General features: G+C 49.0%; 1 protein-coding gene across 56 annotated transcripts in view, besides 3 other annotated features; it reads left to right on the forward strand.

The window, feature by feature from the left end:
* Positions 1-20,575, forward strand: part of CACNA1C (calcium voltage-gated channel subunit alpha1 C) — a 727,171-nt gene that overhangs the window by 535,588 nt on the left and 171,008 nt on the right. For all 56 annotated transcript variants that reach the window (XM_017019926.3, XM_017019934.3, XM_017019946.3 and 53 more), the window contains one exon: positions 6,445-6,617. In XM_017019926.3, the coding sequence (XP_016875415.1) occupies positions 6,445-6,617 (173 nt within the window). The remainder of the gene's footprint in view (positions 1-6,444; positions 6,618-20,575) is intronic.
* Positions 1,137-1,637: an enhancer, noted in NCBI's record as "H3K4me1 hESC enhancer chr12:2616670-2617170 (GRCh37/hg19 assembly coordinates)". NCBI's record gives its function as "activates a minimal SCP1, AML or CMV promoter by ChIP-STARR-seq in naive H9 embryonic stem cells {active_cell/tissue: H9 hESC(naive)}" and the evidence as "EXISTENCE:reporter gene assay evidence [ECO:0000049][PMID:30033119]".
* Positions 1,638-2,138: an enhancer, noted in NCBI's record as "H3K4me1 hESC enhancer chr12:2617171-2617671 (GRCh37/hg19 assembly coordinates)". NCBI's record gives its function as "activates a minimal SCP1, AML or CMV promoter by ChIP-STARR-seq in naive H9 embryonic stem cells {active_cell/tissue: H9 hESC(naive)}" and the evidence as "EXISTENCE:reporter gene assay evidence [ECO:0000049][PMID:30033119]".
* Positions 13,577-14,776: an enhancer, noted in NCBI's record as "MED14-independent group 3 enhancer chr12:2629110-2630309 (GRCh37/hg19 assembly coordinates)". NCBI's record gives its function as "activates an origin of replication core promoter dependent on BRD2, BRD4, P300/CBP and CDK7 cofactors, and independent of MED14, by STARR-seq in HCT116 cells {active_cell/tissue: HCT116}" and the evidence as "EXISTENCE:reporter gene assay evidence [ECO:0000049][PMID:35650434]".

Below are 20,575 nucleotides of genomic sequence, written 5' to 3' on the forward strand. Positions count from 1 at the left end.
ATCCCAGCTCTGCCCTTGCTGGGTACATAATGTTGGGTGGTTTCACCTTTTTAAATCTTAGTTTCCCCATCTGAAAAAGTGAAGCTGATAATTCCAGTGCATAGGTGGCTGTGATGATAGAATAAGATCATTTTCAGAATACTTAACACAGTGGTATATAATAAGTGCCCAATAATGGTGCTATCATTACAATGATTATTATTTACTTGGTGCCTGTTATAACTAGAAGTATAGAATCATCAAATATTAGACATGCTCCAGCCTTTCCTCTTAAAGATGAGGAGCGTGAGCCCAGAGATGTTAAGTGATTTGTACAACGTCACTTCCCTGGTAAGTAGCAGAACCAGAGCCAGCCCTCAAGGCACCGCCTCCCATGAGATCTATGATGAATGAGCTTGAACTGCAACACAAGCCACAGCTCAAGACTTTTAAAAGAATGTAACTCCACTTTCTTCCCCTGGAGACTGGGAACCAAATCTGAGCAAGTAACCCCCCACCAAGAGCCTGAAGTGGAGAATGAGGGCTGGGCCCTGAGGGTCCTCCCTGAGCAGAGCGTCTGCCCAGGAATCAAAGCAGTGAAGTCAAGTGACAGAAACTGCTGATGTTGGGGAAGAAGCCACTTTGAAGGCCATATCTTGGCTGACTCAGCCTAAAAGCGCTAGGGTGTATTTAGACCCCTCACCCCAAACCTGGAGCTTAGTAATATTCAAAAATGTTGGTTGACTCAGAACAAGAACATTAAGGCTATCTGACCTCTGAACTTAGGAGTCTTTGAGTCGATACGCTGGTCTTTCCTGGAGACCTTCGCCAGCCTCTGTTTCCTGACCTGTTCTGAGAGCTGCCGTCTGCTCCTTGCAGCTCCTGAATCACTGATAGAACATCTGCCAAGGCTTCCTTGGCCAAAGGTCTGCCCTAAAGAGCAAAGATGTGTGTATGGGCGAGCACCTCCCCTTTCTGGTTTAAGGAGGCCTCTCCTCATGTGTCAAGGGCTGGCCACTCTGAATTGGTTGCCCCCGCCCCATGCAGTGCCAAAGCTGGAATCAGCTTCTGTTGGCTGACCACTCAGAGGCAACGGTTTCCAGTCAGTGTCTTGATTAGCCAGGACCGTAGAATAGTCACACACTTACTGGGTGCAGATGTAGTTGACCATGCAGTCAAACACCCACTTATTCATCAGACTTCTGATTAAGCTACACTTCCAGAAGCATTCAAAAAGGTCTCACTGCTCCATGAAATTGACTGTCACATTAACAGTCACTAGCATTCTCTGTGTCAGGCTCCGTGCTCGGCGTGTTCGCTAGATTCGCTCAGTTAATGCTCATGGCAACTCAGTGAGCTGGTGCTATTCCTGTGTCCATTCTACAGAGAAGGCAAGTGAAGCTCACCAGGCAAAATGACCTCAATCCCAGCAGGTGAGAAATGCAGGATGCAGAGCTGAGCCCAAGCGATGTGAATCCATCACTTCTATCCCTGACCTCTGTGGTGTACTCTCCCCAAACCCATAGGACGGGTTCATCCCATGCTTTTAAATGACAGGCGAGAAATGGAGAGGGGAAGAGCAGAAGCTGCAGTAGGAAGGGTGAGAGGAGCGAGCAGGCAGGCACAGAAGCAATCAGCACAGACTGCGGGAAACAGCCAGCAGGCACACAGAATCCCAGCAGGAAGCTGCGAAGGCAACCGCCCAGAGGCCTGCAGCAGGGCTGGGCTGCTTAGCAGAGGGACCGGCAGCCCTGCAGATCTTCATGGCCCTTGAAAGAGAGCAAAGCCACTAACTGAATAGCACTGCAGTCTTGGAGCCTTCTGGGACTGGGAGAAGTGGGTGTGAAACCCTGCATTCCAACAATTAAGGATAATATGATTTTATAGCCCTGCACAGTAACTCATCCTCATAAATTATGTCCTTCAGTCACTAAGGAAAGATTGAACGGTGCTTGGTGTGTTGTGCTTGTGAAGGTAGAGAAGATGACTCCATAAAGCTTCCATTTAAAGTGTGGAAATTCAGGGCTGCGCATGGTGGCTCATGCCTATAATCCCAGTGTTGGGAGACTGAAGCAAGAGAATCATGCGAAGCTAGGAGTTTGAGATCAGCCTGGGCGACATAGTGAGACCCTTTCTCTACAAAGAAAATATTTTTTAATTAGCTGGGCTTGGTGGCAGCACCTATAGTCCCAGGTATTCGGGAAGCCGAGGTGGGAGGATCACTTGAGTCCAGGAGTTTGAGGCTGCAGTGAGCCATAGTCATGCCACTGCACTCCAGCCTGGGTGACAGAGCGAGACTCTGTCTCTAAAAGTAAAAAAGAAAAAATTTTTAATGGAAATTCAAAGACTTTTGGCCCTGAGAGGGTTAGACCTCTTCTATCTGGATCATGCACACATCCAGAACACCTATTTCTGATGAGGCCAGATAAAGTCAATATAAAGAATAGATATTAAAGGATTTTTTCAAAATACTTTATTATCTGATGGTCCTCACATTAACCCTATGCAAGACATAGGACTGGTGCTCTTATGGATAATAATCAGATTATGATTACTTCCCCTCAGAAAGCTCAATCTCCAGTCGACTAGAATAAAGACAACGGTGATGATGACATTCTTGAAATTGCACTTGAAGCTGTAATGAGGTGGAAGCCTCTGGACTCTGGTTGCTTTTTGTTTTAAGCGACTGCAAACAGAGGGCTTGGGAAGTGCGCCTCCAGTTGGCAAGAGGCCCACGATTTCTTACATAGGTAGTCATCCCATCCCTTTTCCCACTGGGAGATGGGCATGTCTTGTCCCCAAAAAGCAGAGGACCCGGGAGGTAGGCATTTTACAGCCAGGAAGTATCGCTGGACCATGGCCCACAGTTAAGACACAGTATCTGGGACCAGAAGAAAGCAATAAAAGGTCAGGACACACGTGCCTTGTGGGTGGGAGCAGAAGAGATGGCCCAACATACACAGTCATGTTATGGAATGTAACCCTTACATGTTATGGAATGTAACCCTTATTCATGACGGTTACATTCCATAAAGTCACCACAAACATGAAGTAGTGGACACTGAGACGTTGGTCCTGAGGAACTACAGAGTTGTTTCCTGTGAGCCTCTGCCCACATTTTGTCAACCAATCAATACATAACCTTGTTTTAAGTGTGTTTCTATTTAAAGACACCTTATTTAATATATATGATTGATTCATGAACATTAAACTCCTGGCCACTAGCACCGTAACTCGCACCTGCGTGAAGCTTATTTAATGCACGTGTTTTCTCTGTGCAGCACATCATAGCCCTCCTACGCATAGTGACACAGGACGGCACTTCAGCATTATGCTTGGGGCCATTTTAAACAGCAAAATCACCAACAAAAAGCACAAAAATGAGAAAACATGGCACTAAGTGGACGGTGAAAAGGACACCTCACAGTATGAGAGCTGAATTGGGAAGGCAGAACTCTACATGCCCCTTGTTTGGCCTCAGCGGGAACATGTAGAGTTTTTGTCATCTGCACATGTCCACAGATGACTGAAAGTGCCACGAGTATTGATTCTGGAGTTACAAACACATTTTAGTGAGTAGGCGCATTTGTAGATGTGGGATCCACAAATAAGGAGCCTGGGTGGTATCGATGATCAAAGGGCCTAGCACACCTCAGGCTATTGGTTGGATTCCACACACACCGCCCTGTGCATGCTTCACATCGCTGAGCCCTGGCCCCTGGCTCTCCACACCACCCCTCATTTTTCATGTTGGCCATTGCTGGCGAGAGATGCAGTCCTGTCTCGTGACAAATCCCACAGCTGTGACTGATTGTCTTGCCGGCTTCAGTCCCTGGGCCCAGTGCAGACTGTCAGGCTGGGGCTCCATGTCTTCATTAGCTCAGTCCCCAGAGCAGGAACATGGCTGGCATCCAGGCAAGGAGATAAAGAGAGCCAGGCACTGCCACCAGCAGATCCTTTACCGTGGGAAACCTTGGCTCATCTTCCATCCAGCCTCAAGCCTGTCTGTGCCTCATACTCCATGGGATCCAGCCATGCTCCAGATCTGACTAAAGCCCTTCTCCATCCCTCTCACACTCCCAAAACACATCCTTCCTCTATGAGGAAAATTATCTTCAAGCCAGGCAGAATCACCAGCATACCTCGTGTTCTGTTTCTCCCCCTGTAATGTTTATTTTAGATCCCCAGAGGCCTTGGGGTATAGATGGTGAGCTTCATTCCATGGGACTGTTGCTGTAAAACAGGATTGGGCCAATTGTCCCTATTCCAGTTGAGTCCCAGTCCTATTCTCCCAATTCCAAAAGAAGGATGGGAAGGTGTTTTGTAACCAGAACTTGAACCCTCTGCAAAGTCACTCAAAAGAGCTGAAGTGAGCCCTTACAAGGGACTGTGAAGTTCAGCCCCTTGCAACTCCAAACCCACCCCAGAGGGGTGCAAATGGAGGTAGACAGAAAGACAGTCAAGAGAGGAGGCCTTGAAACATAGTTTTTGGAGTTGATTTGCATAGGGAGAAAAATGCTATATGAGGTTACTGTCTCCAGGAGCAAGACTAAGGCCCCGAAGGCTTAACCAGGTACAGGGGATAAGAGGTTAGGAGGAGAGGGGATGGCATCTCTCTATGATCATCCCCAGAAGGGAAGGAGCAAAGTTTCCCTCGCCATTGTGAGCTGTCAATCTGTCCCTTTTCCCTAGCATAAAAGTCCTTGGGAAAAAAATGAAGGTACCCACTGGTTGGCAGGAAGCCCAAGAAACAGCAAGTACAATCCAATTAGAATTGGATTCAATCAAATTTAAGAAGAAAATTCAATCCAAACCAGAGCATCATTAAGGCAGCAGTTGAAGAGAACTGGTTAGCTTGACAGCCCCCACATTCTCCCAATTAAAAAGTTCCCTAGGCCCCACCCCAGCCCCAACTCCATCTCACCATAAAGACGGTGCATGCTGAAATTAGTGCTCTCCCAAGTGGCACAGGCCAAATGCAAGCACTAGGCAGTGCAGGTAGTGATGGAGCTGCCCCACATGACAGTAGACTCAGAAGCAGAGCCCTTTGCCCTCTTATGGTTTGTGGTGCTGTCCCTCCTTCCATGGTGCCTTTCCTAGAGTGTGGCTTCAGCAAAAAATTCTCCAAGGTGCTTCCAGCAGCCTCGTGCCCTGAACTGGGCCTTCATGGGTGAGAGAGGAAGACATCATGGCTCCAAGAATTAACCAAGATGTCCTATGCATGTACACACACACACACACACACAAATACACACATACATGCACCACCAAGGGCCTCATTCCCCAAAGACTGCATATCAAAACCAAAAATACTCCCCTATGCCTATTTTGCAAGAAAAGGCACAGACTTGCTTTGAGGGTTGAGAATTCACTTTGTTGATGATTGCCTTCTCCTGCCAGCCTCCTCCTTGCTCAGAAAGTGAATTCGAAGTCAGAGAGAAAATTAGGACAGAATCATAGAAAAGAAATAGTTATTGTGTCAGAAATTTTTCAATAGGCCATTCTTCCAGCAAATCCCACCCCAGTTTCAATTTCTACTCATTATTACTTTAAATCAAATGCATCATTTAACTTTTATATCATCTTGATTTTATGTATTTTTCTATTCTGATTGGATTTCTTTAAACCAAAAGGGCAGCCCCCAGGACATTTTCTTGTGTTTGGAATCTTCATTTGTCTTCATGTGGGAGAGAACCTTCTCTAGATTAGAAATCCTTCCAGGAATGCTGAGTGGCAGGTTGAGCTCGTCATAAGAATAGAGATTGAGGACATTAAATCTCCTGGGTCCCAAATCAGTGGTATACTGGTAAATATTTAACAATTGGCTCTCTATGGGGAAAGCCCTGGTTTTCAGCATTTGCCAGTTACCATGGTGTAAATATTCCCACTGTGGCCGATCTCAAGCTACCAGCGAGACATCCCTGAAGCCAGAGTTGGGAAGAGACATGAATGATTGGCTCTCAGGACCTGGGGCGAGTGAGTGGGCTTTGGTACACTGCCGGTCCTAAAACCTTGTGTCACCTGGAGACCCTTGGGAGAATTTTAAACTACCACTCAATACTGGGTGGGATGGAAATGCATGTTCTGGAATGGTGGTGGAGGTTTTTAGTTACTGCTTGGAACGAGTTCCCAGGTCTTCGGAGAACAGTTATTAAAAAGCAAAGCCTGTGATCATGATCCAGGAAAAGAGGGAGATGGACTTCATCCATCCCCTTAAGCCTCTCCTGGCCAGTGTCAGGAATGTCCCCTTACTGACGCTTCCCATCGAGGTGATAGTAGACCTAACCTAGGCTGACTAGCGGAGCTGTCTGTGGAAAGTAGGGGCGTGTGGGCAGGTTTCTCCCTGCAAAGCAATTAAGACTCTTGTTTCTCCTTATCTCCATCTCTCCTTCCATCCTCGACCCTTCTCGGTGCTCCCTCCTTCTCTGTGCTCTCCTGCCCTGCCCCTCCTCTCACTCTCACCAGAGAGTTTTCCAAAGAGAGGGAGAAGGCCAAGGCCCGGGGAGATTTCCAGAAGCTGCGGGAGAAGCAGCAGCTAGAAGAGGATCTCAAAGGCTACCTGGATTGGATCACTCAGGCCGAAGACATCGATCCTGAGAATGAGGACGAAGGCATGGATGAGGAGAAGCCCCGAAACAGTGAGCAGCCGTCTTCTTCTGTGTTTGGGCTGGGTTCTGGGGGAGAGGAGACAGCATCGGGGTCAGCACAGAACTTTGACCGCCACCCTTTCTTAGAAGCCCACGGGGTGCCTTCCTGGAGCAGCAGTTATCTCACTGATGGCAGTCACTTGCTGCACACAGACATCGGTCACATGTGGGAAATCATAGCTGTCGATCTAGAAAACCTCATGCTCCTTTTAGAATATTTCACCTTGAAAGACTGTTGAGATTTTGCTAAGGCAGAGGCTTTTTTAAAATCAGAGATCCTTCTCCTCCAGGTTCCACCTCTTTGGGCAGGGGCACAGGCTTCCCGTTTGAAAGCGCAGGCTTGTTTAAAAGGAACAATGTGTGCCAAGCAGCTGCCTGGAAAACTTTATACCTGCTCAGGATTCCTTCCCCCTTTGCAGATTTCCATGCACCACTGAGCTTTCTCATAGGAAAGGTAGTGAAAGGTTTTCCTTAAGGGGGTTAGATTCAAAGACCTGGGGAAGTGCTAAGTGGGAGTGTTGGGGGAAGCCCAGAGGAATTCGGCAGAATGCAATTAGGTGATGGAAGTTGAGCCAATTCCCTTCCTTGGGGGTTCACGTGGCCCCTTGTTGGATAGGCTGTGGCTGAGATAGAAATGAAAGTGATGGATGACATTGACTCACAAATACGTAAAAAATGACGGATCATGAAAATTCAGGCTCTTACCAGACTAGCTCCATGGTTCTCAAAGCATGGCCGCTGACCAGCAGCGTCAGCATTACCTGGAAACTTGTTAGAAATGCAAAGTCTTGGGCCCCACTCCAGATCTATTGACCCAGAAACTGTGGGAATGGGGCCCAGGAATCTCTGTTTTGACAACTCCCCCAGGTGATCAAGATGCATAGTAAATTTGAGAAGCTTTGGGTTAACTCTAACCACTCTCTATATCTCATTTGGCCTTGATCTCTGTGACTCGAATCATACTCTTTCTTTCTTTTTCTGTGTGTGATATCTTTCTCTTTCACTATACATGTTTGAATAGGTGCATTTTTGTCCTCTCAAGCAGCCTTACTTAAAAACAGTTTCCTAAACACTGAGCATCTAGAGTACTCCACGAAGCAAACAGGTTAAAGAGCCATCCAGGGCATTTGCTGCGTGGAGTCATGCTGGTAAAGACAGGGAACTGGAACTTCACCCTGAGCAGAGAGGATGATGAGAAGAGCTGCCAGGAGCAGAAACAGGTGCAGGAAGAAAGGACGAAGATAGCCAAAGATGTTCACGGGAGCAGAATCTCTGCTCCCTCATTTCAAAGATAGCTTTAATAAATCTATCAACTGCTCCCTTTCTGATAACGCTGCTCAAGGAGCAAATACAAAATTAAAGCACACAAACAACAAGGGACTGTTAACAACATAATGTAGTAACCTAAGGAGGCCTTTGTGCTCCATTAAGTGGTTTTGCAAGTTGGAATACAGGGCCTTTGATGGATTATAACAATGAGGGTCTTCCTGGAAAAATGCCTGACACCTTCTATTACACTGTTGATGGAACTGAGGAGTAGTTGATTAGTTTGTGGCACTGAGTGGTATGGTAAATAAATAAGTTGGCCTGTGAGCCACGGAGAAGCCTACCTCTAAAATGCAGGAATTTGTATGCTGGCTCCTGGCTCCACCCTAAGTCAGAGCACTGGTGCTACCTTGTGACTGACGGTGATGAGCATTTCTGTAGCGCGTGTTATTGAAAACCTGCAGTAGCCACTACACGCTTAGCAGCCAGTGGTTATCCACCGAGATAACAGAACGTTGCTATTCTGTTCTCCGCCTAAAACAGGAGCTTCCAAGGGAGAGTGTGCTGCTTCTCCATCTAACCCATTAAATGAATAAATTGTTAGGAGAGTTCCCAGCATGGAGTATTATTTGCTGCTGGAGCAGATCACACTGACAAGGCCCATCTACCCAAATTTCTTGACAAACTTTGAGAAGAGCATAATGAGCTGCCTAACCCAATAGACAGTCTCGCTAAGATTTTCCTAAGCCTAGATAAGGATGGCCTTAGACTCTGGAGACTGGTTTCTCTCACCTTGCACTGCTTCCTTACGGCTGGAGGAGCCCTGGGGGTCTGTTTCTTGTCCTAAGAGGACTGGAGTGGGAGCCTGGCTCCTTCATTAGTGGAAATGCTAATTAGTGGGACAGTTCCAGGGGATGAGGCAGGGGAATGAATATTTTAAAAAGCAAGATGTAGAGAGTAAGATAGACACATGCAATGAAGTGGAACGTGAGAGACAGGAGTGGAGCTGGGAAGAGACTGTGTCTGTTGGGGAAGTCCAATTAAAAGTAGAATTGATGTGATGAAATGATTAAGGAATCAGAGGCCTAATTCACTTGCAAAAAAGGTAAGACAGTGGCTCAGAAACTATCTTCCTGTCTTGAGAATTTCATAGATTGCTCTTTGAAACAAATACAAGGGGAGAAATCCTGCTACGTTTGAAGCATGTGTGTTTCAATTACCGTAATATCTTAGCCTTTGAAATTTCTAAAAGACTATAGTATGGTATGTTTGCCAATTCTCTTCAGCTCAAAAGCCAAGTCATCTTTTAAGAGAAAAGGCCGATCACTCTTCATCAGCAGCTGTGGTGACTCCGCTTCTCCCCTGGGCAGCATCTGGATGCCCGTGGTGTGAGGCTGGGGAGGTGGGGCTGAGTGCAGTGCAGGAGCTGCTTGGTGACACCCAGCATATCTTAGGGGAGCCCAGGGATTCTGTTTCCTTAGGGAAAGCTGCAAAAGCCACCAAGGAGTAGAAAAAATGGGCTGGAAGGACAACAGAAAGAAAGCGTGCAGTTGGGGACATTTCTCTAAATATTAGTGTAAGTGAAGTGGCCCGTAAGTTATATACAAAAATATGTTCCAGTTCATTCATTCATTAGTCCACCCATCCACACATGAAAGGTCTGCTCTCTGCCAGGCACTGCCATAGACACTGGTGATAGAGCAGTGAACAAGGGAGTCAAAAGTCCCTGCCCTCGTGGAACTTAGATTCTAGTAGAGAGACAGGTGGTAAATTAAATAGCATGCCAGAGAGGGGGGAAGCAGTGAAGGGGGAAGAGTGTTGAGAGGTTGTGATTTTAAGGGGTCAGCCAAGGAATGTCTCACGATCGAGGCAGCATTGGAATAAAGACGTGGAGGCTGGAAGGAAAAGCACCATGCAGATAGTTGGGAAAGGAGCCTTCTAGAGGCTAGCGAGAAGGGGCCAATGAGAAGGGGCCACGCTGATGAATCCGGAGCTGAGGAGGCTTGTGCAGCTGGAGAGGAGGGAGTAAGGGGGTGAATGGTGTAAGGTGAGGCTGTGGGACCCAAGGAGTAGGGTATATAAACTATTGTGAGAACTTGGCTCTTACTGGGAGTGAACCAAAGAGCCTCTGGGTATTTAATTGCTATTGAGCAGAGAAGCAACACGATCTGACAGACACTTATCAGGATCCGTCTGCCTGCCATGTGCAGAATGGAATGAAGGTGGGCCAGGGAGAGGCAGGGGTCCCGTCAGGTGCCTGCTGCCTCAGGAGATGCTGGGCCTGGTCTTGACACCCATGGAAGTGATAAGGTCAGACTTCAGGATGATGTCATTTGCAGACGCGTCAGATATGGGATGTGAGAGAGAGAGGTAGGGCATTTTCCAAGGCAATTGTCCTAAACGATGGCAAGAGGGGAATTGTCATTTATGGATATGGGGAAGTCTGTGAGAGGAACGGGTGTCAGGGCAGGAGGATCAGGAAAGCCATCTGAGACCTTTAAGTTTGAAGTGCCTATTAAACATCCAGGTGGAGATGTTGAGTATGTAATAAGGAATGAACCTCTCCAGGAGAGAGATCTGTGGCTGAACTGTAATTTGGGAAGTCAACAACATATAGAAGATACTTAACCCCTGGATCTCTGGATAAGATCACTGGGGTGTGAGTGTAGACAGAAGTGAGATGCTGTCCAAGAACTGAGTCCTAGCCCTACTGATGTTTGGAGATTGGGATACAGGGAAAGAACCAGCAAACAGGACTCCTAAAGGCATGGCCAGAGAGACAGGAGGGAATGCAAAGGAAGGGGTGTGAGCGTTGCTGCTGTGACTGGAAACTGACCATTGGGCTTAGCAATGTGGGGCTCACTTGCTGGTGCCTTAACACAGGCTGTTGGATGAAATGCTGGGGAGAAAGCTTCCTGGCAAATCAGCCTTACCCTGTGCATCTCTCGAGTCTGCATGCCTCCTGCAATGGCATGGAGCGTTGCTCTGCAGGCTTCTTGCTTCTTTGGCATGGCCCAGCTTCCAGCCATCTGAAGAGTCTGGCCATCAGGAAACCAGAAAGAGGAGAGGAGGAGACTCACACAGACTCTAGCATGCCCATGGCCTCAAGACAGTCAGTGTCTAAAGCTTAGCCCATCACGATGTTCCCTTCTACAGCAATGCCAATACTAGCCACTGCCTCTGCAATGGGTTACAGTCTTGGAAAAAAGAGGACGTGATACTCAAGAGCCATTTCAGAGCCAAAAAGGCAAAAAAGGGGCAAGAAAGGGGCATGTTTATGTACTGTTGCCCTGGATGTGGCTTCCTAAGTGGGGCAGCCAAGAGCCAAGCCCCTTTTCTCTCTGGGTAAAGACTAGGATAATGTTGAGGTCTCCCCACTCTAGTGACTGCTTCTCCCCTCCCTCTGAGCAGCAGTGAGAAGCCCCTGTGAAGGGACCCATTGCAGAACTGTCATTAGTGCAGGGTTATTGTCATCAGCAGAGATGCACTGCTCAAAGGGACAGGGCTCATCTTCCAGCTCCGACGTTAAATCTAATAGAAGGTCAGACACTACAGGGAGAAGCCATAAAGAAAAAGAGACAGATTCTCTTCTTTTTCCTCTTCAAGATGAAAAAACACATCTATTAAATATCCATCCTTACAGGAATCTCTCTTTCATGTCATTAAGACAACTTAAATGCACCCTGGCTCTCTAAAGCTTGCAGTTCAATACAGACATTGATGTGGATGAGCACGTAAACAGACAGACAGACAGTGGAACCAAAATATTGAATTTCCATGCAGATAAGCAGGATTAAATATTTACCCCATGGTATCGAGTTATGTGACTCGGGAGCCACTTTTGCAGTCATCACCAGCTAGCAGAGCCACGTGCCTGCTGCCTGCCCAACAGAGTCTAGGATCACATATTACTGAGACAGGAAATTGGAAGGCTTGTAAGAGCTGCAGGTTGCCCACGATAGGGCCCCATGTGGCTTGAGAGCAGTAACCTGAATATCGCTGATTTACATTATTTTATATGTGTCAAGGGCATGTACATAGTTATTTGATCTTTAAAAAAAAATCAGGGCCGGGCGTGGTGGCTCACGCCTGTAATCCCAACACTTTGGGAGGCCGAGGCGGGTGGATCATGAGGTCAGGAGATTGAGACCATCCTGGCTAACACAGTGAAACCCCGTCTCTACTAAAAATACAAAAAATTAGCCAGGAGCGGTGGCGGGCTCCTGTAGTCCCAGCTACTTGAGAGGCTGAGGCAGGAGAATGGCGTGAACCCAGGAGGCGGAGCTTGCAGTGAGCCGAGATCGCGCCACTGCACTCCAGCCTGGGCGACAGAGCCAGACGCTGTCTCAAAAAAAAAAAAAAAAATCAGTACGATCAGTATTTATCTAGATCTCTCGATACCTACAACACAATCCCATGTCATGGCACATACGAGTCACACAAACACATGTGAAGCATCTGGCTCAGATTACATGAGAAGACATGCCAATATTTGTTTTTGTCCTTGATTCTGTTCATACCTTGCACTGTTGAGTGATCATGCTGCCAGGCCATGAAGTGAGAGCAGATCCTTAAGGCAGAGCCTGGAAGTAGCTCCTGGGCCTTCACGTTAACTCTTAGCTGGTCCTAATCAGAGCCCTGGAAACTTTAGTGCTGGAAAGTTGCTGGAGAGATCAGGTGAGGAAACTGGAGCCCAAGGTGGGAAACAGCCACCTGCCTAAATGTTACTGAAGTCAGCACTCAAACCCAGGGCTCCAGATTCCCCATGCAGGACCCTGCCCAGCAGACCACAGTGCTCCTTACAGAAGGCTTCTTGGATACCCAGGCAGCAGCACTCCCTAACTGTCCCTCTGTCCCCCTAGCTCTTGGGGCACATCCCCATTTATCTTGTGGAATTACATCCACCTCTTTACACTTGCTTGCTGGGCTACACTGAGAGGTCCTTCTTGGGGCTGCCTTTAATTCACCGTTGTGTCCCCATGACCTGACACAGGCCAGAGCATGGGAATGTCATGGCACATATGAGTCACACGAACACACGCAAACGCGAGTGCATGCCATATGCCAGTTTTGGCAAAGCACCTTCTGCCATGCTCTAAGCTGTTGGAACAGGTGAGCTCACACTGCCCCTGGACTGAGTTGGCTCATTGTTCTGTCTGCTCAGAATTGACTTCCTTGTGGCATCACCGATGACATCCTTTCAAAGTCATTTCCTTTCATGAACACGGTTGCTTTCCAATAGCCCTCAGTCACTCTCAACTCTTGGAAGGCACCATTTGGAAACAGGCGAATAAGCACAGAGCCCCCCATACGTGTGGACAGTGGCGATGACAGGGAAATTGAAGTGCCGTGGGAAAGCATTGGGAGTTCTTAAGCAACGAGATTTTGCTGTTCCCTGAAGACCATGGTGGCTAGTGGGGCTGTGTACTGGGGCTCTGCAGTGAAACCACTGATGGATATTTCTGGTTCTGGTAGTCATGAATACCCATGGGCGAGGTCCTGTGGACTTGGTGTTGTGAGAGGCATCTCACCCAAAGCGGGGCGTGGGGGCCATGTTGTAGTAAGGATCCAGAAGGGGTCTGTTCATTGGTAGCACATTACCTTTGGAGCACAGCCTGGCTGCTGTGCTATCTGGCCCCGTAAGTGTACAAATGCCATTTTCCCAGCCAGGGGAGCAGTGGAAGAGCTATGGAAAGGCTGTATTGTGTATACAGTGCGAAGTAGGCACGTCAGCCTGTTTCAGTGAGCTGTCGGACACTTCCCAAAGCAAAACCACCAGCTCTGGGCAAGGCTTGCTAGGTTAAGCTGTTGGGAAGCCATGACAGTCTTCTCATTGCCCAATGGCCGTGTGCTTCAGAGGAGGGAAGCCGTGACAGTCTTCTCATTGACCAATGGCCGTGTGCTTCAGAGGAGGGAAGCCATGACAGTCTTCTCATTGACCAATGGCCGTGTGCTTCAGAGGAGGGAAGCCATGACAGTCTTCTCATTGCCCAATGGCCGTGTGCTTCAGAGGAGGGAAGCCATGACAGTCTTCTCATTGCCCAATGGCCGTGTGCTTCAGAGGAGGGAAGCCATGACAGTCTTCTCATTGCCCAATGGCCGTGTGCTTCAGAGGAGGGAAGCCATGACAGTCTTCTCATTGCCCAATGGCCGTGTGCTTCAGAGGAGGGAAGCCATGACAGTCTTCTCATTGCACAATGGCCGTGTGCTTCAGAGGAGGGAAGCCATGACAGTCTTCTCATTGCCCAATGGCCGTGTGCTTCAGAGGAGGGAAGCCATGACAGTCTTCTCATTGCCCAATGGCCGTGTGCTTCAGAGGAGGGAAGCCATGACAGTCTTCTCATTGCCCAATGGCCGTGTGCTTCAGAGGAGGGAAGCCATGACAGTCTTCTCATTGACCAATGGCCGTGTGCTTCAGAGGAGGGAAGCCATGACAGTCTTCTCATTGACCAATGGCCGTGTGCTTCATAGGAGGGAAGCCATGACAGTCTTCTCATTGACCAATGGCCGTGTGCTTCATAGGAGGGAAGCCATGACAGTCTTCTCATTGCCCAATGGCCGTGTGCTTCAGAGGAGGGAAGCCATGACAGTCTTCTCATTGACCAATGGCCGTGTGCTTCAGAGGAGTGGGAAGGTGACAGCCACATAACATTTTGACAGGAGACATTCATAGCTTCCTGGGCCTGGCATTAGATCAGCATAAAGGTGCCTGGCAGCTCTGCCAAGCCATCAGCTAATAAAGGCTCTGCTCCCCTTGGGGAGACGCCTACTTGACTTTAGGGGAGTGTCCAGGCCAAAACGATAACCTTGATAAGCCAACAAACTCCAGAATCCAGATGGCTAGGTTTATGGTGGAGAATATTGTCAATACCAGCTGAGAAAGACACCAGAAGAAGGATTCCCACACCCTTTTTAGATACCTGCCTTTGTATTGGTCTACCTTTCACTGTGTAACAGCTATGGTAGGAACAGAGGCTGTGTGGAGGGGCCTATGAGCAGCAGGGGCTGGGTCGGGTGTTGTGGAGGCCACACTGTGGTTTTGGAGGGACAAGAGTTACCAGGGAGCCACCGGGACCTCTCCTGCAGTTTAAAGTGGATGTGGATAGAGAGCAGCTGTGTTCCTGGGATCGCTGGCTAGCCAGCCACCCTGCAGGGGCAGAGCAAACAGGCTGTTAGCTCTTGAACTGCCAGGCACACTGGGGGTCCTTGGCAGGGTGTGGAGCATGAAGGCCCTCTTCCTCTCCAGGGCCTGGAGGACAGCATCCTCTGCCTGCCCGCCAGGGTCCCAGCCCAAACCAGCATCTTCCGAGCCCACTTCTCTCTCCAGAGGCTTCTTCATCTTCCCAGTTCCCCAGGATACAAAGCCGCCTTCCTCTTTCCTCTCCTGTGCCCTTCCACAGTTATCAGTGCCTGCGTTCAGTCAGTCAAGTCGTATGGGCTGTCCTCTTCGCTTCTTCGCTTGGACTTCTCACTCCTTCCCTCCTCTCCCCTCACCTCTCTCCGCCTGGACTCGCAGCCACCTTGCTGCCCTGCCTTCCAGCCCCGTTCCCACGCAACCTGTGTAATGCAGCCAAGTTCATATTTCTGCAGCCGACTGTGTCACTCCCTTGTTCAAAAGCTTTGAATGTGTCTCCATGGGTACAGAATAAAGCCTGAACATCTCTCAGTATTTCAGGCATCTCCAACCTGTCCCAGCCAATAGCTTGAACCTTATCACTCCCTACTGCCCTGCCGCAAAGCCAGACTGCATCTTGTTTTCCAGAAACGCCTGCTGCTGTCCTGTTTCTGCACCTTTACCCATCTCCCATCCCTCTGCCTACAGCACCTGTTTCCTCCCCTGCTCCTCCGTGGCCTCCTAGCCCAGGTCGAAGAGCACGTCTTGGCTCAGGCCTCCCAGAGCCCCCATCTCAGGACAGGCACTGTCAGCACTCAACCCTCACCTACCCACCAGTCGGTGGGGGTGGCCCAGCCGTCTTGTTATATAGAAAGCTCTTGGGAGGCAGCAGCGTGCATTGGTAACTTCTTATTCACTCTCCCACTCAGTATGTAGGGCAATGATTTCTATTTCACAGACTTCCCCCAAAAACACATAATGAATTGAATTGAATTCTCTTCGGATCAGAGAATTAAGGTCTGATAGCCCTATATTCATACCTAGTTGGCCAAATACCATTTTTCCAGTCTTAGCCATGCTCATGGTAGCCCCCAGAGAGTGTATTGTGGTTGACAGAATGGGCAGAAATGATTTGGCGTTGAGAAAGTGGGCCGAGAGGAAAGTTTGGAAGGAGTTAGAATTATATAGTCCCAGGAGAAGAGAAAGCCGGGAGTCGACAGAACAGGGACAAAGCTGCCTCATGCCCACATACTCCCCGTAGGAGGGGTCATTGTTTCACTGTATGGCGTCAACTTTTAGATTCTGAGTTTGGATCATGGATACATTTCAGCCCTCTGGGGCTCTCCTGGGCTGGGGGGCAGAGGAAGGACAGGGGCAGAGGCATGAGAGGGGATGTCTTTTTCTTGCATGGAAGGTGAAGAAGGCCTGGATGGTCTCCTTTCATCTTGCCCAAGATCATCTCACATGGGTATTGTTTGCCCCATTTTGCAGATGGGAAAAGTGAGGCTCGGAAAAGTTAACGTATTCACATTGTTCAGCTTGTAAGTTGCACAGTTATGTGGCCGTTGCTCCCTCCGTACCATGCTGGTCTCTACCACAAGCCCCCTCACGAATGCCCTTCTCTTCCAACCAGGGGAACCAGAAGTGGGCCCTCCAGTCCCCCAGCCGGAACAGCCTGTGAATTTTCCTTGGTTGTTGCATTTATCGCTTCAGCCTAATATGCAAAGCAGGTGGACGGAGAAAGGAGGAAAAGAGCGGAGATGGGGCGGGAGGGCGGGGGCGGTGGTGCTGGTAGTAGGGCATGGGTTTGATTTTTTTTTAAGTTGAACTTTATGATTCTGAGAACTCTGTTTGAAGCATGGAAAGAAGTTATGGCATTATCTTGCTCACGGAAAGAAAAAGCGAACTGAGGTCAAGCGCCATCCCTTTGGAATGGTTTAAGAGGCAGTTTTGTTTGGAAGGAGATGTGTCAATTCCGTGACCTATCCGATTTCCTTCAGTTCAGGGTTCCTTGGGACTGGCTTAGAGGAGGGTGTTGATCAGCCACAATGCTCTGGGGATGGGAGTTCTAGCTTACCACTTTCCTGCCTTGGCAAGTACGGTGTGAGGAATGTCATGGAACCGCCTCTGATGATTCTGGGCTGTGCAGTGCTACAGCGTCATCACTTCTGAGTCTCTGATCCCAGGAACCTCAGCACTATGGGGCCCCGGGGGGGATCACTGACACGTGGTGTCTTTGGAGAAGTCCTGTCACCTACCTAAAGCCACGGGTCGCTTTAAGAATGGATCTGCCTGTGTCCACTTGGCCTTGCCCAGAGTAGGCACTCAGTAAAGAGCTGATTTGACTTTAATTTGGTGCTTTGCAAATCGATCTATACACTTGGGCGTTAAAGTAGCTCAGCAGAGGGATGGAAGGGGAGATGAATCATCCTGAGTTTCCCTTTGATCCATTTTCTCCAATAACCAGTGCTCAGCCCCGAAACAGAGCTGCCTACACTACAGTTACCCTTGCCTCCCTCACCCACTCCACGCTTCCTTCTCTGTAAACAGTGGGGGTAAGAAGCTCATGCCGCATCAAGATATCTTAACTGTCAGAGGCTATCAGTGGAGGGGAGAGTGACAGCTCCAGCCTTTCTCACTACTTGCTGATGTGGAAAATTATCATCCAGTAATGGAGGGAGATTAGCCACGTATTGTATTTCCATCGTCGGGTGCATGGCATGGGAGGATGATTTATAGAACTGGAACCCTGAAGCTAGTGGAAAGGTCACAGAAAGTGGAATCATTGGCCTCAACACAGTGGCTAGTGTCTGAGGGAACCTCCTAGAGCCACATGCATGCCAGGCCATCCTGAGTGCTTGAGAGAGACATGGGCACATTAACACACATTTAAGTCCCAACAGGGCACCCAGAATACTAAGATAAATAGACACCGTCTCTGTCCTAAGGGGAATTACAGCCTAGTTCAGGAGACAGATGCACCAACAGACAGGTGACAGTGATGAATTGCAGTCATGAACCAGGGGCTGGAGAAACACAGAAGACAGAGAGCAGAGTTTGGAAGAGGGTGGGAGGGACTGCCTGCCCCAAGAAGGATTCATGAAGGTGCCATGTCAGTCAGGGTTGGTGGACCATTGTAATAAGCAGCCCCCAAATGAAATCTCAGTTGCTTAGTACAGTAAAGGTTACTTTTCACCCCACGGTGGAGTGTGAGCTGGGGATGGGAGGGAGGAGAGTTCCACCACACCGGTCTTCAGGCCCCAAGGCTGCACCCCTTTTGTGGCTTTGCCACCCCCGGGGCCTCACAGTCTCCCCTGTCTGCTCTGCATCGGGCCAGCAGAAGAGGGAGCAGAGGGCCTGCTGGAGGCTTCAGCAGCCAGGCCTGGGAGTGTGGGCATTGCTCGCGACACACCATCGGCCGGAACACAGCTCCCACTTCCGCCTGACTTCCAGGGGACTGGCGAAGAGCAGCTAACTAAGTGCTCGGGGGCAGAAGGACTGGGGCTGGGTGGGCACAGGACAGTGTTCCTGCTGCAGTTTGGCAGCAGGTCACACGGCCAAAAGATCGCAACCGGACCTTCTAAGCTGAGGGGGCTACATTTGCAAAGTTGTAGAAGCAAAATAATTTTTAAAAGAAGGAAAGGAAATGGAATTGCACATGTTTCATGGTGATTTGAGTTCAGGGTGCACAGGGGAGAAGCCAAAAAGAAAGATCAGGACAGAAAGACTGGGACCTGGTCCCAAAGGGCCTCGGAGTGGGACTCTATCCTGTGGTTAAGGAGGAGCCACCGAAGAGATTTAAGCAGAGGGATGACAAGGTACCAGTTTACCATCGAAAGGTCACTGTGCAGCCGAGTGTGGACAATGGGCTGGAAGGAGAGAGAAGCTGGAGGCGGAGTGGGGGTCAGTCAGAGGCTGATAAGGCCTGAGTGGGAGTGGACAGGCGGGGAAGGATTGGAAAGAGCCTGCATCCACTGGGATAGGGTCCTAAGGGCTGGCAGGCCCTGAACACCTATCCTGGAGGCTCCAGGATAAACACCTTGTGCTTTTCAGCCTCAGGAATGATGGAGGAGGTTGTGCAGTGCCATGCCCCTCTGAGGGGCTCTTCCTGGGAGTTGGTTTGTCCTGCCTGCTCCTTGGTGGGATCCCTGCCATGACCCTCTGCCCCTTGGCATTCCAAGGCCTGTTTAATACCCATGACCATAAACACACCCACAAGCAGTCCCCTTACCCTAAAAGGTGCCACATGGAGAATTCCAAGCAACTCAGCCTATTAAATCCTTGCCTGCATGATTAAATGCCTCCTGGGGAAAAAGTCGAGTAACAACCCCAAACATAGGCTTTGATGGCTCCATCCTTCAGGATTACTTCACCAAATGGAAATACTCATGCCTCTGGTGACAGCTGCAGTGTTTCCAGAAGAGATTTCTACCCTCATATAATAGGAGAGACTTTGTCCTCTTAAATAACTATGATACCTGCTGTAAGTACTGAACTGTTAATCACCGTGATCACTTTGTGTCGATGCCACACTGCTAGAGGGACAGAACTGAAGCCTTGCCAGAAACAACAGAGAATCTGCTCAAAGAGTTGCCTAATGAAAAGGGTGGTCTGTTGGGGAGATAGATGGAATTCTTCAAAATAGAAGGCAATTGGCAGCGTTAGGCTGGGGTGAGGGTCAGGAGAAGAGGGGCAGCTGGGGAGAGAAGGGCTGGCTCATTTATGTCTTACTTTCTTTCTATATCCTGGTACCAGGTGCTGGATTCCTTATTTAGCCATGTGGTTAGCTCCATCGCCATCCAAAAATTACGGAATTCTAAAACCCTGGGGCATAAAGGGGGCTCCAGGTCCCTGAGTCTGTCCTCATTCCCTGGGCTTAATCATGCATCCCCCGAACCACACCCTACCCCATGTGGGGGCTGTTGGCCCAAAGACAAGTGTCTGTGCTGCTATTCCAGGGCCTTGTCACATCACACTGGAGTGACCACCTCCCAGCTGACAGTGCTCCCGGATTCCGTTTCTTTTAGAGATATGAGCAGGTTTCAACACTGTCTCTGGAAAAATCACAGGACATGCTCAAAGGTAGCATCATGGGAACAGGGCAAGGGCCTTCCACAACAGAACAGGAAGTTGTATTCATTTCCAAACACCTGGCTTTGAGCCGAAACTTGCACTTTACTGATAAGGCCATAAACTCTCCTCCTCCTGCACCCAGTTTGATTCACCAGCAGGGCCCACACATGTGGTGCCATCCAGAGTCATCCCTCCTCAAAGGAAATGATGGGCAAGAAACGTGTTTGCACAAGAGTCTCTAAACACAGCCCATGAATGAATGGTCTCCGGTGAAGGTAGACTGGAGTGATAGAGTAGCATGTTCACTTCTACATGGCGCTGCAGAGAGCCTAAGAAGAGAATGAATAAAGAAAAGTGTAGCCATTTACTCAGTCATAAAAATACACGTCCATTGCAATTTAGAATTAATACAGATTAGTTCCTCCGACTGAAGAAAAGTAACCCCAGCAAAGATCTGCAGGGCCGAGCCACTGGACAGAAGAGCTTTGATAAGAGA

The sequence above is a fragment of the Homo sapiens genome, chromosome 12 (genome assembly GCF_000001405.40).
Source record: "Homo sapiens chromosome 12, GRCh38.p14 Primary Assembly".
In the NCBI taxonomy this organism is placed as follows: Eukaryota; Metazoa; Chordata; class Mammalia; order Primates; family Hominidae; genus Homo; species Homo sapiens.